This window comes from Homo sapiens, chromosome 10 (assembly GCF_000001405.40).
Source record: "Homo sapiens chromosome 10, GRCh38.p14 Primary Assembly".
Classification (NCBI taxonomy): Eukaryota; Metazoa; Chordata; class Mammalia; order Primates; family Hominidae; genus Homo; species Homo sapiens.
Genome location: NC_000010.11, coordinates 87,617,338 through 87,634,893, shown reverse-complemented (window position 1 = coordinate 87,634,893; position 17,556 = coordinate 87,617,338). Strand labels below are relative to the sequence as shown.

At 39.4% G+C, this 17,556-nt stretch overlaps 3 annotated features.

Moving 5' to 3' along the window:
* Positions 7,542 to 8,350: an enhancer, noted in NCBI's record as "NANOG-H3K27ac hESC enhancer chr10:89386301-89387109 (GRCh37/hg19 assembly coordinates)". NCBI's record gives its function as "activates a minimal SCP1, AML or CMV promoter by ChIP-STARR-seq in naive H9 embryonic stem cells {active_cell/tissue: H9 hESC(naive)}" and the evidence as "EXISTENCE:reporter gene assay evidence [ECO:0000049][PMID:30033119]".
* Positions 12,267 to 12,316: an enhancer, noted in NCBI's record as "active region_3710". NCBI's record gives its function as "activates an Ori minimal core promoter by ATAC-STARR-seq in GM12878 lymphoblastoid cells {active_cell/tissue: GM12878}" and the evidence as "EXISTENCE:reporter gene assay evidence [ECO:0000049][PMID:35858748]".
* Positions 12,357 to 12,456: an enhancer, noted in NCBI's record as "active region_3709". NCBI's record gives its function as "activates an Ori minimal core promoter by ATAC-STARR-seq in GM12878 lymphoblastoid cells {active_cell/tissue: GM12878}" and the evidence as "EXISTENCE:reporter gene assay evidence [ECO:0000049][PMID:35858748]".

Below are 17,556 nucleotides of genomic sequence, written 5' to 3'. Positions count from 1 at the left end.
GCAGAAGAAGGTGGAATAACCTTGCTGGCTGAGTCTTCTTTCTTTTCTTCCTCCTGCCCTTGGACATCAGACTCCAGGTTCTTTGGCCTTTGGACTCTAGGACTTGCATCAGTGCCTTGCTGGGGGCTCTTGGGCCTTTGACCACAGATTGAAGCCTGTATTATCTGCTTCCCTGGTGTTGAGGCATTCAGACTTGGACTGACCTACTACCAGCTTCTCTCTTCCCTGGCTTGCAGATGGCTTGTCATAGGACTTCACCTTGTAATCATGTGAGCCAATCCTCCCTATTACACTCCTTTTCATATATACATATATCTTATTAGTTCTGTCCCTTTGGAGAACCCTGACTAATACAGATAGTGACCTGGTCACTTCCTTTTTTAAATCCCATAGTAAGAAGAACTTAACATTCCTGGCACTTTTCTCACTGACATGAAGAGAGAGTCTGATGAGGTGGGGACTTGCTGAGCCTGAGTTTCACGTAACCTTGTTGAGTCAGGTTTGTAATGCGGTCTTGGTTGTGCCATGAAACAGAAGCAAAGCTCAGAACAATCTTCTATTTCTTTCTCTTTAACAGCTCTGAGATGTAATTCACATAGCATAAAATGCACCCAATTAAAGTGTGCCATTCAATGAATTTTAGTATATTCACAGAGTTGTGCATCTATCATCAAAATCAAATTTATAATATTTTCATTACCCCCTAAACTTCCTGCACTCCTTGACCATCACTCCACAATTTTCCCAACCCCCACCCCCAACCCAAGAGTCTGGCAATCACTAATCTACTGTCTCTTTATAGATTTGCCTGGTATGGATATTTCATAGACATGCAGTCATAGAGTATATGGCATTTTGTGTCTGGCTTCTTTCACTTAGCGTAGTATTTTAAGGTTCATCCATGTTGTACCATGTATCAGTATTTCTTTTATGAAATATTTTATAAATATTCCATCATATGGATATACCACATTTTATTTATTCATTATCAATGAACATTTGGTTGTTTTCACCTTATGGCTATTGTGACTAGTGCTGCTGTGAACACACACATGCAAGTTTTTGTGTAGATATGTGTTTCCATTTCTCTTGGGCATACACTGAGGAGTGGAATTGCTAGGTTATACGTCAACCTGTTGTTTAGCCATTTGAGGAACTGCCAGACTGTTTCCCAAAGTGACTGCACCGTTTTAGAATCTCATCAGTGATGTGTTAGGGTTCCAATTTATCCACATCCTCCCCCACACTTGTTACTGTCTGTCTTTTTTATTATAGTCATCCTAGTGAGTGTGAAGTGCTGTCTCATGGTTTTGCATTTCATTTCCCTGATGGCTAATGATATTGAACATTTTTCATGTGTTTATTGGCCAATTTGTGTAACTTCTTTGGATAATTTTCTATCCATTTCTCAGTTCTTATCTGCCTCAGTTTCTCCTCTCAGGGAGAAAGCTATCCCAACACAACACTTCATCACTGGCTTCATTCACCTTGTTATAATTTACAACCTCCAGCAAATTATTAAAATAGATTTATAAAGCACCTGAATCAGCCAGTGATTACTTGTGTTTAATAGAGATTACTTGATTTTAATAGAGAGCTCAAGACTTCAATAAAGACTCAGAGAGCTGAAGTCCATTGCAAATGGACTTGTCTTTGGTTAATAGACTTACTTTATCCAAAGGAACCATTTAACTTTCAAGGCATTATTCCCAGGTCTATAACTCAGGATAAGGTCTAGCCACAGAATATCAGAGGAAGGATTCAGAATAGAAAGATTAATGAAATAGAATGGTCACATAGTATGGCTCAGAGCCTTTCAATACCCAAAAAGGGTAACCAACTATCAGGGGTTGCCTGGGACTGTCCTGGTTTTAAAATCAAAAGTCCTGGAAAATATCTCAGTCCTGAGCAAGCCAGTCAGTCGGTCACTCCAGAGCCATATTCATTCTCCAACTTATGTAGGCAATAGAGTTACAACTGAGTGTTAAAAGAAAAACCTAAGACAAATTAAACAGAGTTTAACTGAGCAAAGAATGATTCACAAATCTGGCAACTCCTGAACCTGAATAGGTTCAGAGAGTCTCCGGAGCAGCCACATGGTTGAAAATTGATGGACAGAAAAAGGAAAGTGACAGACAGAAAATGAAAATGAGGTACAAAACTGGCTGGATCAGTTACAGCTTGGCAATTGCCTTATCTGAATGCGGTTTGAAGAGTTGGCCGCCTTTGATAGGCCAAAACTCAGTGATCAACACAAGAGTAGTTTACAGTCTGTTTACAAATCCAGTGACACGGTTTGGCTGTATTCCCACCCAAATCTCATCTTGAATTGTAGTTCCCATAATCCCCACATGTCATGGGAGGGAGCTGGTGGAAGGTAATTGAATCATGGAGGCATTCATGCTGTTCTCATGATAGTGAATAAGTCTCATGAAATCTGATGGTTTTATAAAGGGCAGCTCCCCTGCACACACTCTCTTGCCTGCCGCCATGTAAGATGTGCTTTTGCTCCTCCTTCACCTTCTGCCATGATTGTGAGGTCTCCCCAGCTGTGCAGGACTGTGAGTCCATTAAACCTCTTTTTCTTTATAAATTACCCAGTCTAATTTTTTTTTTTTTTTTGAGACGGAGTCTCACTCAAGTTGCCCAGGCTGGAGTGCAGTGGCGTGATCTCAGCTCACTGCAAGCTCTGCCTCCTGGGTTCACGCCATTCTCCTGCCTCAGCCTCCTGAGTAGCTGGGACTACAGGTGCCTGCCACCACACCTGGCTATTTTTGTTTTGTATTTTTAGTAGAGACGGGGTTTCACCATGTTAGCCAGGATGGTCTCGATCTCCTGACCTTGAGATCCACCCACCTCCACCTCCCAAAGTGCTGGGATTACATCAGTCATTTCTTCATAGCAGTATGAAAATGGACTAATACATCCAGTTAGGTTACAGTTTATTCAGTATGAAGATACCATAAGTTAGGTCAAACTTAAAATATGTAAGTAGGCGCTTTGGATTAAATTTAATTTAGCAATTCCCCAGTTTTGAGAGATTGACCAAAACTGTAGGCATTGATGTTACTCTACTACCATGCTAAATATCCTTATGCTGTCTTAAATCCCATTGAGAAATAGCAAAACAGTGGGTTTTGCAAGGTGGGAATAAAGGCATCTTGTTTTTGTTTTTTAATACACATGGAGTTTTGCCATTTGCCCAGGCTGGTCTTGAACTCCTGAGCTCAAGAGATCCACCCACCTTGGCCTCCCAAAGTGCTAAGATGACAGGTGTGAGCCACCATGCCCAGCCTATGTTTGTAAGGGTTACAGTAGAGGGGACCTTCTTGTGCTGCAATCTCCTGTTTACAGGAGAAAAACGAAACTTGGCCTGTTTTAGGACCTACCTGCTTCATTAAAATTTCAATTTGATTATGTCGCATTTAGCATGAGTGACTCCATTTTGGTTTGGTTTGGTCTGGTCTGTTGTGGCCTACTACCTGAGCTCAATCCAAAATAATGGTCTCCCATCATTTTGTTTAAAAATTCTCCCCTTTTGGTTAGGTTCTCATTTAGGTGAGAGTATAACCAAAACTTACAGCCTTAGCACCACTCTCAGTTATCATCATTTTGGGTTTCCACTCTCAGCATATCATTCTTAGGTTACGTTACCCCATGTTCATATTTCTTTTAGTTTTTATCATTCCAGTTGAAGAAAGACCATTTGACATTTTATGGATGGCTGCTTGCAAATATTTAAAACTTTTGAGGGAATACAACAAACCAGGGAGACTCTTATTACAACTATCAGGAGGGTAATACCAAAAGTTTGAAGTATGCTCCTTAGCCGGGGTTCCCATGAACCAAACCAACTAAAATCAAATAGACCAAAGAATGAGCTAGATAAAAAGTCTATTCATTCCAACCAAGCAGCCTGTTCATTAATTCCCTACAGTCAAGTCTCTATAACGTCCAGTGTATTTCCCCATGGGCAACTAGATGTATCAGCAACTGCACAGATACTTCTGTTTAGCCAGTAGATGATCTAGAGCAATTCTATTAATTAGCACAACATACACAAGAGAGTTTAAAGTCTGTTGTGTAACCATAGCCTTTGCAGTAGAATCTGCTGTACAGATCTACAGACTATTATGAGGTATACATTTCTTTCTTTTTTTTTTTTTTTGAGACGAAGTCTTGCTCTGTCGCCCAGGCTGGAGTGCAGTGGCGCAATCTCAGACCACTGCAACCTCTGCCTCCCAGGTTCAAGCGATTCTCCTGCCTCAGCCTTCTATAGGCACACGCCACCACGCCCAGCTAATTTTTTTTGTCTTTTTAGTAGAGACGGGGTTTCATCATGTTGCCCAGGCTGGTCTCAAACTCCTGACCTCAAGTGATCTGCCAGCCTCGGCCTCCCAAAGTGCTGGCATTACAAGCGTGAGCCACCGCGCCCAGCCGAGGGATACATTTCTAATCATTGCCTCATTTACTTTAAACCATGGAAAAACAGACCTAATAAATGATGCCCATCCAAAAGAATGAAGGCCTCTGGCAATGTTCTCTTTAACCTATGATGTAGGTTAAGAGGTGTGGACAAATGTTCTGGTTTTGATAGATAATGAAGCAACAAAGTTACCATTAAAATTTCTCACTTACATTGGCCCTTCCTCTTCCGTCTGTCAAGGCAGAAGATTGTTTATTGATAAGGCTGGCTGTGACATCCTCCAAAAATAAATGTATACCTCATGAGTGCACACAAGAGGCCCCTTTTTCAGTTCTATTGTTCACAGAGACATAGGCAAGGAAAAAATTTAGAGATGAGAATCTCATGATAGCAGAGAAGCCTTAAAACATGCTCTTGGGAAAAAGCTGTGTATGTCAAAGATGCTGTCTGTTTCTGGGGAGAAACTTCCCTGGTTAGCTTTATCTTAGGTACCCAATGGCTATATAGTTCCAAGAGTCTGGAGGGGAGCTTCTGAGTTGTGAACTCAAGGTTCAAGATCCTCAAGTTTTGCCGCAGTGCGGGTGGCAAAGGTAGTTTTTCTTTGATGTTGTTCTTAGAAGACCCAGTCTCCAGGTTCTATTATAGATTGTGAAGGGTTTGATCGTCCTTAGTCAGTGGACCATGAAAAACCTCTTCACCTGGTGAAAATACACTTTGGCACAATGCATTAAAAGTCTTGCCGCATTTAGTCATATCAGAGTTTAGTGATAAAAGATAATGAGCTTCTATTATTAAGTGCATAAGCCTTCCAGTGATTATTGCATAAGGGGTCAACTTATGTTTTCCGCTTTAAATGGATCTGACTGTCATCATTCTGCAATACCTCTGACCAAGGCAATTCAATATTCAGTTAGTTTTATTTATTGCTATTGTATCTGTAATACCATATTTAACTATTACAACTTGTTCAGTGAAACAAGTACCTCTATCACTAGAGATTTCTCCAGAAATGTCCCATTAGAGAAAAACAATTTCTAATAACCTTTTAGCTGCTGTAATAACATCAATCTTCTTGCATGGGAAACCTTCTATACAACCAGAAAACATGCATTGAAAATAACAATTGCATGAAATCCCTCTATAAATGTTTAAACAGGCCATCAGGTATCAGAAATGTACCTGAAGTTTTGATCATCTTTGCAGGATTTTGGGTTTGACAAAGCAAACATTGGTCATAAATTATTTCAGCAGTTTAGAATAGTCAGTGTGTGTGTGTGTGTGTGTGTGTGTGTGTTTAATTTATATTTTTATTTCTTCCATTATAAGTCATGGAATGCAAAGCTTTTAATATTGGAAGCTTTAAGGACCAAGAAGGTCTAGTTTGCCATCCAGGCTCTCCATAAGTCCATGCTTAACATTGAACTTATACCCTCTTGAATATCAATTTCGTTTCTTCAATTTAGGAGCATAGCACTGTTTATTAGATGAGTTATCATTTGACTTGGAGCATGAAATTCATTCAAATTGCATATTTAAACAATTTCAATACTGACTGATTTAGCTTGAAAATCTGGCAAAGTATTTTCTTGGTATCCAATTAATTTTTATCCTGCTTAGGTTAGCAATTTTATAAACCAGTCGGTTTCTTCATTAGAATTCTGGGAATTCTTACCAAGTCCAAATGTTATTATCCTAAAGCTATCAGAAGCCTTATTCAAGAGTGCTTGTCAGGGTTCTTTTTATCGTTTTCATGAAACTCCTTGAAGACACAATGCTCTAGGATTTTGCTTGCTTGTGAAGTTTCCAGAAACTGTATCAGAAGTAAGCAATTAACTGTGGAAATGACTTAAAATGATCACAGTTAAAGAGTACAATTGAGAAGGAAATTTGGTTATTTTGTGACCTACAAAAATTTAATATAACCATAATTATGGCTGATAGCATACAGACATATCAGAATTTTAGGAATTCCATACAATTTTAGAACATATATTAATAACATTTATAAAAATATAACTTGAAGAAGGTTAAACAGTATTTCTTATTTGACAATGCTTTCCATGTAATTTAACATATCAATACTGTTTATCTCTCTTTTGTATGCTTCAGAGGCCCTCTTTAGCACCCTGAAGTTAGAGGTCAAAAACAACAACAAAAAAGACAAATTTTGAAGTTGAAATGTGATTTCAGGAAGCTTGTCAAATATGCCAAAGGTTTAAAACACTTGGCCAAATAGAATCACAGGTCATTGTAAAATAATAGTCATTTATATAGCCAATGTGATAATGAAAAAGTTTTTAAAAGCACAAATCTTTATTCTCTGATAGTAAGAAGACACAGTTACCCAAGCAATCAAAAGACCTGAGAAAGACAATATGAGAAAAAAAAAATCTGTCTCCCCTTGTCTCCTTTTCTTTGTTTTTTTTTTTTTGCAGTTTACTCAAAAGGTGAACAAAAATATTTTACTGTCTTTTTTTTTTTTCTTTCTTTTTTTGAGATGGAGTCTCACTCTGTCACTCAGGTTGGAGTGTAGTGGCATGATCTCGACTCACTGCAACCTACATCTCCTGGGTTCAAGGGATTCTCCTGCCTCAGCCTCGCTAGTAGCTGGGATTACCACCATGCCTGTCTAATTTTCATATTTTTAGTAGAGATGAGATTTCACCATGTTGGTTAGGCTGGTCTTGAACTCCTGACCTCAGGTGATCCACCTGCCTTGGTCTCCCAAAGAGCTGGGATTAAAGACATCAACCACCACACCCAGCCACTTTTACTTGTCTTATTAATACTACATGAAATTTTTTTTTCAAAAGATAAAACAAAATTTTACTTTTGTATTAGTGTATTTATTGATATCAAAGCTAATTTTAATAAAAACTTATAAACAAACCTCGGTTGGCTTTTGACCACACCAGATTTCCATAAACTTTTCGTAATCTCTCGTACATTTATACAATTCTTTTTCATTTCAACTTTCTATATGAGTTTCATCTACATCTTTTTTATTCCTTCTACTTGAAAGAACCTTTAAGTAACTTCAAACTAGACAAAAAAAAGTCTTTTTAACAAACACACACTTTATAGCTTTCCTCACTAAAAGCACATCTTGCTTGTTTATACACTTTATACAGAATTGTTTGTCTTACATCTAGTAGTTTTAATTACATATATTAACTGTAATTTAAACTCTTAGTAACCTAAGTTCTAGTGAAAACCCTAGCAAATAATTTTGAACTGTTTTGTATCAGTATTTATAGATGAAAACTATTTTATAATTTTTTAGAAATATGCATCCTTAAATTATTGTTCATTAAGTATATTTAGCTTTTCTATATCATATAAAAATAAGATGTCAAAGTATATAAACTTAAACTTATGTTTATTATTGTTTTAGTATTTTAGCTTACAAATGACTTAGAGATTTTATGATTATCTATTATTTAATCAAACATAACATGAATTTAATATTTTAAATTACTGGCTGTGCACGGTAGCTCACGCTTGTAATCCCAACACTTTGGGAGGCCAAGGCAGGAGGATTGCTTGAGTTCAACAGTTTGAGAGTAGCCTGGGCAACATAGCAAAATTTTTTTTTAAAAATTAGCTGGGTGTGGTGGTGTGTACCTTTAGTCCCAGCTGACTTGAGGATCACTTGGGCCTAGGAATTTGAGGCTGGAGTGAGCTATGATTACGCCACTGCACTCCAGCCTGAGTGGCAGAGTGAGACTCTGTCTCAAACAAAAAGATTCTAAATTACTGAAAAGAATTTTGAAACTATGACACAGGAACCCTCTTCTAATGTTTTCCACAGTCATCCTGGGTCCCAAGTAGCCAAGTGGCACCCAGGAAGGCTGTGAAGGGCAGGGCCTGAGTCCTGAATTTACATACTAGTTGTAGAGCTAAGGACAGAAGACAGAGCTGTGAAGGAGAGGCCTGGAAGATGGAACCCCTCCCAGAATAGCCAGGAGGCAAAGCTGAGGCAGGTTAAGAAGGGGCCATATTGGGCCTGATTCTGCTTGGTAGCTGCTGGTCTGGGCACTGAGAACATGTCCCTAGGCCTTACCATGGCCACTTATTCAGACCCCCAACTCCAGAGGCTCAAAACCAAAAACATAAGTTCACAGTCTGTCAAATCAAGCAAGTGTCTAATTATTTTCAACTGGCAATTTTGAATCCATTCCTATTTTATCAACAATTTTCAAACTGGCTTTATTTACCAAATACTATCACATACACATAACACATATAGATATACAGACACACAGACAGAAGCAGATTTTATACCCTTCACAAAGATTCTCATTTGCTAGCTTCGAAATAGTTTTTCTTTTCCTCATTCACACTATCCATCTTCCAATTATGTGTTTCATTGCCCTAAGTAATTGTTAGCTAGGCAACCCTAAACTTGCATTTCTAAAGGGACAACTCAGGTGAAACAAGGTAGAAAGTTTATATCTCAAAAGCACAGAAATAAGATTTGAGACCTAAATACTGTACCATCATTCACTCTAGCCAAGGAAAAAATAGTGTAAGTAAAAGTTTACTTAAAACAGGCTGTCCAGAAAAGTGCCTTAAACAAAGGTATGAGTTGTTATGTAAATTTAAAACAATTGTAAGTTTCTTATGTATACAGCAGACACCCTTACAAATGCAGATTTCCTATATAGATGTAAATTTCTTTTTAAAAAAGGTTTCAAAATAGCCAGTTAAATGCCAGAAAGGTGTATTTTCGTTCTAGGAGTGGTGTTTTTTTTGTTGTTGTAGTTGTTTTTTTTTGTTTTTTTTTTTTTAACTTAGCTACTGTTTCTTAGCTAAAATTACTGAGTTCAGAGCGGAGTCTGTTAAGGAATAAAGCAAAGAAAGCATTCTCTATGCCTGGACTCAGCATGGATAGATCTGAAAAGGAAGCAAGTCTATTTCATCTCTAACAAGTCTACCAAAATGTTTTATAAACATTTTACCCAGGATAGCTTTCTTTTTGCCTTCAGGGTAGGATAGTAACCAAGCCAAACATTTAGCAGATTTAATTCTTCTTATCAATTAAACGGTTAAGCTTTTTATTTGCCTTTTATAAAGAGTATTTTCTTTGAAAGCAATAAAAACATTGAAATCTTTTTAGAAGCTTCACATTAATAGGCATCATTGGATGACTCTAATTCGGGAGCCCTCATTTTCAAATTCAATTTTTTGTTTTTTAACAGCTCTTTGTGGCCATCATCAAATGTATTTCTTAAAGTGCAGTGTTGTCCATCTGGAATGTTCCATTGTAATGTTAAATTATCTTTGGTAAGATTTTGCCATTTCTATAGCATTTACTGCTTCTGGGACCTAATATTCATACATGTAAATGTAGGCATAGTTGGAAGGTAGATTCCTTAATTTCTGAATTTCTGAAGAAATTAAGGATCTCATTTTTACCTTGAATCTTGGCTTTGGTTCTCATATTCTCTTAATCAACTTAGTCAATGATTTCTCCCTACTTAAAGTGTGCAAGAAAAAGAAAGGGGGTAGAACACAAAAATATCTGCAAATTTCCAAAAGCTAAAGTTTGCACCCCTGCAGTTTTGCCATCTACTGCCAGTTTCTGCCTGACCCCCTCAGGCATCCGAGGCCTCTAACTGGATCCAAGTCAGTTAATTATTGGATCCAGTTCAGTGCCTGACCCAGACCAGCTTTTGTCATGACTTCTGAATCTAGTTCAGATAAAAAATGTGCTCAACCTCAGATAGCTCAAAACACAAATCCGTGGAGCTCTGGAATCCAAGAGAGAACTTATGATCCCCGGTTGCCGTGATTTAGCAATGGACACAATGGGGCTCGGCAGGTCCCTGCTTGGTCCCTTGGTGCTCCTGGGAGACACTGGAATCTCTACTTCAAATTCTACTTTTGACACCATCTAAATTTAGACAAACTAAATTTAACAAAGTTTAATTAAGCAAAGAGTGATTTGTGAATTGGGCAGCCCCCAAAACAAAACAGGTTCAGAGGATCTCCAGCAGCAGCCATATGGTTGAAGATTTATGGACAGAAAAAGGAAAGTGACATATAGAAAATGGAAGTGAGGTACAGAAACAGCTGGATTGGCTACAACTTGGCATTTGCCTATTTGAACACAGTTTGAACACTTGGCTGCCTTTGATTGGTCAAAACTCAGGGACTGGCACAAGAGTAGGTTACAGTATGTTCACACATCCAGTTAGATTGCAATTCATTATGCACAAGAAAACTTTAGGCTGAACTTAAAAATGAAAATTAAGTTTAGCTTTAGGCTAAACAGTCATTGTTCTGGAAGTCAGCCTAGGCCTTCCCCTGAGCCTCTCATTTGATGCACAAATCCCAATTGTCACGCCAGACGTCTTTATTTTTGTTTACTCTTAAAATCTTATTTTGTCTTACTCTTACTTTACTTTGGTAAGTTCCTCAGTGATGTCTTTTTTTTTTTTTTTTTTTTTGAGATGGAGTCTTGCTCTGTTGCCCAGGCTGGAGTGCTCAACTCAACGACTTAAATATCCATCAGTAGAGGAGTGGTTAGGAAAATTATAGTATATCCTTATATTAGAATTCTATGCAGTCATTAAAAAGAACAAGGTAGAGCTGTTTGTTCTAATATGGAACACTCTCTGAGATATAATGTTCAGTAGAACAAATGCATAACAGGTGCATTGCTCTTACCATTTATGTAAAAAGAAAAAGGAGCTATGGCGATAAGTACATGTTATATTTGCAAATTTTAAATATGCTTATGTTTGCATTGTATATCTCTGGAAAGATACATAAAAAATGATTGGCAGTAGTTGCCTCCATGAAAGGGGATCAAGGATAGAAGAAAGACTTATTGTTCATTATATACTCTTATGTACTATTTAATTTTTTTACATATGCTTGTATTAAATCTTTAAAAATCATAATATAGAAATTTAATCACTAGGAAAAATCCTGCATTAAAGTGGAGTGTTGAATACTAGAATCCCTACTGCTCTTTGCTTTGCTTCTCTGGCAAGAGAGTTTTACAATTATGAAGTAAAATAACCTGTATTTGAGTTGGACTATTTCCCACATACTATAAAGAGAAATATTTCAACAGTCTTTCAAAGACAAAGCATAAATCAGTTAATGACAGTGCCTGGATTGGAACTGAGAGTTACAATGGTCATGTTCGTGTATATTAATCCAACAGAAATTCTTACTTGACTCTAAGAAAATGAATGTGTATAAAGGCTGAAGAGGCAAATGGCTTTATAAAAATGACTTTATAAAAATAACCTCAAATTTTTGTAAGTAGCTGAGATTAAGCCAAGTATTTGAAAAACTAGGAGCCAGAATTTATAATCATAGAAATCATAAGTCAGGCTGTACCTGGGTAATCAGAATCGAGTGAGATTTAAGTTTCTCTATGGGATGGGGGTAGTGACAGTTTGCATTGACCCTTCACTCATTCTACAAGCTTCACTGAGGCCCTACCCAGTTGATGCCCAGCGTGGTTCAAGGGGCTGGGGGCACAAGTGGAGATTTCACTGTTATTTTCTCGCCCAGAATTCGTTTCCCCCTTTTCTGGTGACAGCATCTTGATTGTCCTTTGGGAAACCACCAGTCCTACTCTTGGTGCATGTGGCTGTTTTAGGAGAGACCAGCCTTGCATCCCTCCCCGCATGACTCCTACCAGCCACAGGAGGCGTATCTGGCATATGCTAAGCCCCTGGCCACTGTGCTGTGCATGGAACACAAAGAAAAGCAATCCTGGGACTTCTGTGGAACTACTGAGAAGATTAATCTCTCTCCCCCAGTGGAGACAGAAGTTGTAAGAATTTGAGCTTGAGGCTGCCAGCAGCCTGACAGAGGCCAACAGAAACCAACATAGAGCTGAGAGAGACAGACTCTGGGTAGAATCATTTGGACACTAGATCCAGCTACATCTGAAATAGATCTATTTCTGGACTTGGTAGTTCCAAGAATGAATAGTAATTTCCTTTTTGTCACTCGAAACCAGATGCTCGTGTCAAAGAGAAGAGCTACAAGACTGTTTCTGCCCCCAAGGTGCTCCAGTCCATTGGAGAAGCAAACACATAACTGAGAATGACTCACCTTGTGATGGCTGCTATGATGAGGTTCATACCTGGTGCTACAGGACACAGAGAGGCATAATAATGTGGTAAGACATTAGAGTTGTAGAGGATCTTTGAGTTTATCTGCAGTAATCACCCTATTCGAAAGGAGACTCTGAAGCCTAGATTTACCCAAGAGATGGAACGTAACTAACAATGGTTCTGAACTGCACTCTACCCCTCTTGCATTAAAGTAATTAAATGGCATCTTTTCCTGATTACCAACAATTTTTTTCAATATTCATTTATTTGATATTCATTTCTATGTATTCATTGAAGAAAATTTATAAAATATTTTAAAAGCCAAAGAATGAAATAAAAATACCCACACAAGTTTGGTCAATATCCTTAGACTCTTCCTTCGTGAATTCTTTATTAATTTTCTTTTTTTAAAAAAAATAGAATCAGTCTGGGCATGATAACTCACATTTGTAATCTCAGCACTTTGGGAGGCCAAGGCAGAAAGATTGTTTGGGCCCAGAAGTTTGAGACCAGCCTAGGCAACATGGCAAAACTCTGTCTCTACGAAAAAAAAAAAAAAAAAAAAAAAAAATTGCTGGGCATTGTGGTATATGCCTGTAGTCCCAGCTACTTGGGAGGCTGAGGTGGGAGAACTGATTGAGCCCAGGAGGTTGAGGCTGCAGTGAACTGTGGTCATGCCACTGCACTCCAGCCTGAGCAACAGAGCAAGACTCTGTCTCTAAATAAATAAATAAATAAATAAATAAATAAATAAATAAATAAAATAGAATCACTTTGTTTTGTAATCTGCTTCCTAAATTTAACACCATTGTTATAGGCTGCTTCCAAGTTTTAAAATTCTTATTCAGAGATGAATGTTTTTACAGACAAATCTTTGTGTCCATCCTATTTCCCTTGGACAAATTCTCATCAATGGAATTGCTAGATCAAGGAGTTCACATTTTGAGACAAAAGATCACTTTGCAATTTTAGGCCACATAGGTCAAGATTTTACAGCACACACTTAACCTTTACTAGAAGGGGCAAAAAACTCAAGTTAGCTGCATACAAGAAGTAACATGCATTATAATTGTAGGGGCTACCTTCCTAATGCAGACAGGAGAGGGAATAATTTCACTGAGCCAGAAAGCCTATCTCCTGAGAGAGGAAGCAAGGCATGAATACACAACTTGTACATCTGTAACATATCATAAAATCTAAAGAGTAAGGTATTAAGAAGAAAAGTTATAAACACCAAGAGAACTCTGTGCCTTCACTCGCTCTTACTTTAAATCCATCCATTACACTGCCTGTCCCCAGAGCCACTGACCCCAAGCATGAATCAAGCCATGCACATCCTTGCCCAAACCCTTACATCGCTCTCTGCCTTCTCCCCACAATTCTTTAAGGAGACAGCCAAGTCTCTTAGCATATGACTCACAAGCTGTATTTTGAACCCTATCTCCTCTCCATTTACCTGTCCCAATGCACCCAGTGTTGCGGACATGGCCACTGTTCACCAAGGGGACCCTGCACGAGATCCACTCTACCTTGATCCACACTGTTTCCATTTTCTACAATGATATTCTCCCCCATCTCTACCTGTTGAAATTCTGCTATTCTTCAAGGCGTTCATCTGGTTTTGAATGACAATTACTAAATTGACTTAAGCAAAAAAGGAAATAACTATTTGTTCTTGGAACTGCAAATTCCAGAGGGGCTTTGGGCACCTCATGGTCCACTATAACATAAGCCAAGGGAAGGAGAAATTTGCTGGGATAAGCTTGGTAAGTTTGCAGAGGCGGTGGCATTGTACACAGCAGGCTCCTTGAGAGCAGGGATGGATCTCACCGAGCTTCCTCTGATCAACCAGCTCTGTGCCTCGCGCAAACACATCGCCAAATAAATGCTTGTGGAATTGTATTTTTCAGGAATTAAACACAGGTGAAATGACACAAAATTTACTAATCCAGCAAGATTGCATTTAATTGAATTATTCTCCATTACGTTATTATATTGGCCATTCTGTTTTTGATCCCAACCTTCCTAAACAGTCAAAGACTCATTCTGGTGGCTTAAAATTTTTTAAAAAGAAGCTCATTCTTAGTGGGTGGGGTGTTGTTTGCAATGAACTTCAGCTTGAAATACAGCCTTTCAGCATTTACTGGCAGTGTGAAATTCCATGTTATGGTTAGAGAGTCTGGAAACTGATTTGAAATTGGCCATTGTAGTTTGTTTCAGGGGAACATGAAAAAGGGTTGTATTAAAAAAAAATTGGGCTAAAGAAACCTGTTATATTTTCCCCTCACACTCCCCCAGTACACATACAAATCTGTGTGTCAGATACTTTAACAGAACTCCATGAAATGAATCTCTAGTGTGCAACTGACAAAACAATTTTGAAAAGGGCTTTATAACAGCTTGACTTGTTGCTGAGACCTCAGGACAAGAGGAACCAAGAGAGCCTTGTCCAACTGTTGACTTGCTTTTTATGCACTTCACTCCGCCCGAAGCAGCCGAAGAATGTTGCTCAGGGTGTTTCTGTACACACTGTGGGTAGCTGGTATGAGTGAGGTTGACATCAGATACTTGCCAATACATAAATCTCCAATATATTTCCTAGGCTGTTTCAAAACGTATGCTGTGCAGAAACACAGGTATATTCAGAACGTAGGGGTTTTAGAAAGCTGAAGTTGCCATTTGAAACTCTCCTGAGAAGAGCAGCACATCGGCATCCCAATGAGAAGCCTGAGAACCTCTTTCTTTTCTTTTCTTCCTTTTCTTTTTCTTTCTTTCTTTCTTTCTTTTTTTTTTTTTTTTTTTTTTTTTTTTTTTTGAGACAGGATCTTTACTCTGTTGCCCAGGATGGAGTGCAGTGACATGATCAGGGTTCACTGCTGCCCCAACTCCTGGACTCAAGTGGGAACCTGGCTAATTAAAAAACAATTTTTTTAGACATGGGGTCTCACTATGTTACCCAGACTGGTCTCGAACTCCTGGTCTCAAGCGATCCTCTTACCTTGCCCTCCCAAAGCGTGGGGATTATAGGCATGAGCCACCATGCCTGGCTGTGAGAACCTCTTTGGCAGGTGCCTGGGTGCCTGGTTTAGGCTTTGAGCTGGATGCTGAGATAGAGACAGATCACACTCTATGTCTGTCCTCATGGTGCTCACAGTGCAGTGGGAAGGATGGACCTCTGTATGAATCACTGAATTCTGTATAATCCACACAATAATAGAATCATACAGAGGCAACAGGGAAAACTGGGGGTATTCTGGGCCTGAGCAAACAGAAGACACTTCACAAAGCATATGCCCCATGAGCTGGATTTGGAAGGGTAAACAAGACTCTGCAAATGGACAGGGGCAAAGGGCAGCATGGCAGATGGAGCCTGTGTACAGAGGCACAGCAGCCGGGAAAAAAACCTGCCCAGTGTGGGAAATCACAAGTGCTTCAGGGAATTACCTCAGAAACACAAAGTGGGAGGTGAGGGAGAGGCGGGAGGGAAGGCTGGGCAGAAAGGAAGGGCTGAGGTCACAAAAGACGTGGCTGTGTGGGACATCTCCACCCCTGAAAGGGAGCTTGCGAAATGTCTTAAGGCAGTAGTAACACGGTGGGAGTTAGGCAGGGAAAATGCTTCTTGGTGGGAGAGTAACCGCTGGTGCTTGACAATCTTGAGTTGATCCTCCAGATCAGCTGTTCATCCTCTCCCCTCTGCTCTGCGCCCCGGGAGGCTGACCTGCACAGCCAGGATCTGTAGGCTCCCTTCCCTGCAGCTTGGTTGGTTGCATTTGGCAGGCACTGGCAGGAAACCAAAGAGTAGGAAGAGAGAAAGGCTAGGTACTGTATTAATCAGACTTCTCCAGAGACACAGAACCAATGGGGTGTGAGTGTATATTTCACATATATACATATACTATACTATAGAGAGAGAGAGAGGAGAGGGAGATATTTATATTAAGGAGTTGCCCCATCAATCGTGGGACTGGCAAGTCTGAAATCTGCAGGGCAGGCTGTGGGCAGGCCAAAGATGCAATGTTGCAGTCATCAGTCGGAAGGCAGTCTGGAGACACTATTTCTTCCTCCTCTGAGGAACCTCAGTCTTTTTTCCCGTTGAGGCCTTCCATTGATTCGATGAGTCCCCCCACATTATGGAGGGTACTCTGTTTTATTCAAAGTCTACTGATTTAAATGTTAGTCACATCTGAAAAATATCTTCACGGCAACATCCAGACTAGTGTTTGACCAAAATCTAAGTTCCGTGGTCTCACAAAGTTGGCACATAAAATTAACCATGACAAGCACTCACGGTCCTCGTTCCTTCCCTGCCAGGCTGCACACTGGCACTGGCCATGATTTCCTGAGGGTGGCCGTCCTTCCTGGTTGGTGGCCCTGTCTTTCAGCTGCTCTCTCTTCTTGGTCTTCAGGAGCAGGTGTGCTAGCAGTATCCTGTTGTTGCTGGCCCTTGACTGTCTCCCCATCCCTTGTGTTTCCCTCAACCCTCCCCACAGCTTTGTAGATTGTCTCTTCACTGGACTCTCCTCACTAACCCCAGGTCAGTATTTTGTTTCTTTCCTGTCAGGATCTTGTCAGCGAATCTGTGTCCCCTTAGAGTTCTGTGGCCCAATGAGATACAAACCTGACCTTTGCTAGACTGTAAATTCTACAAGGGTGCAGACAGACCATCATGTTGTTCATTGATCTGTGTGCCTACTGTGTAGCAGACACTCAATAAATACTAACTGAAGAAATGAACAAATATATCACTACTTTTAGGAAAACATCTTTGAAAAGTTCAGAGAAGACAGATTAACCCATGGCTAGGAGTCCCCAAAGAGAGTATGTTCAACAGGGATGGAAATTTCTCAAAATGAAAATACTGAATCTAAAACTTGGAATCAGTTCAGTGAGAATAAAAGTAATTTTCTAGATCATTCTAAAGAAAATAAATGTGTAGCTACATTAGTAGCTTTCTGATGAGGAGACATTTTTGAAAGAACATGCACAAATGAAGCCTAGAAGAGGCAAGATGTGTTGCTTAATGAGGGACAAATCCCAGAAACTGTG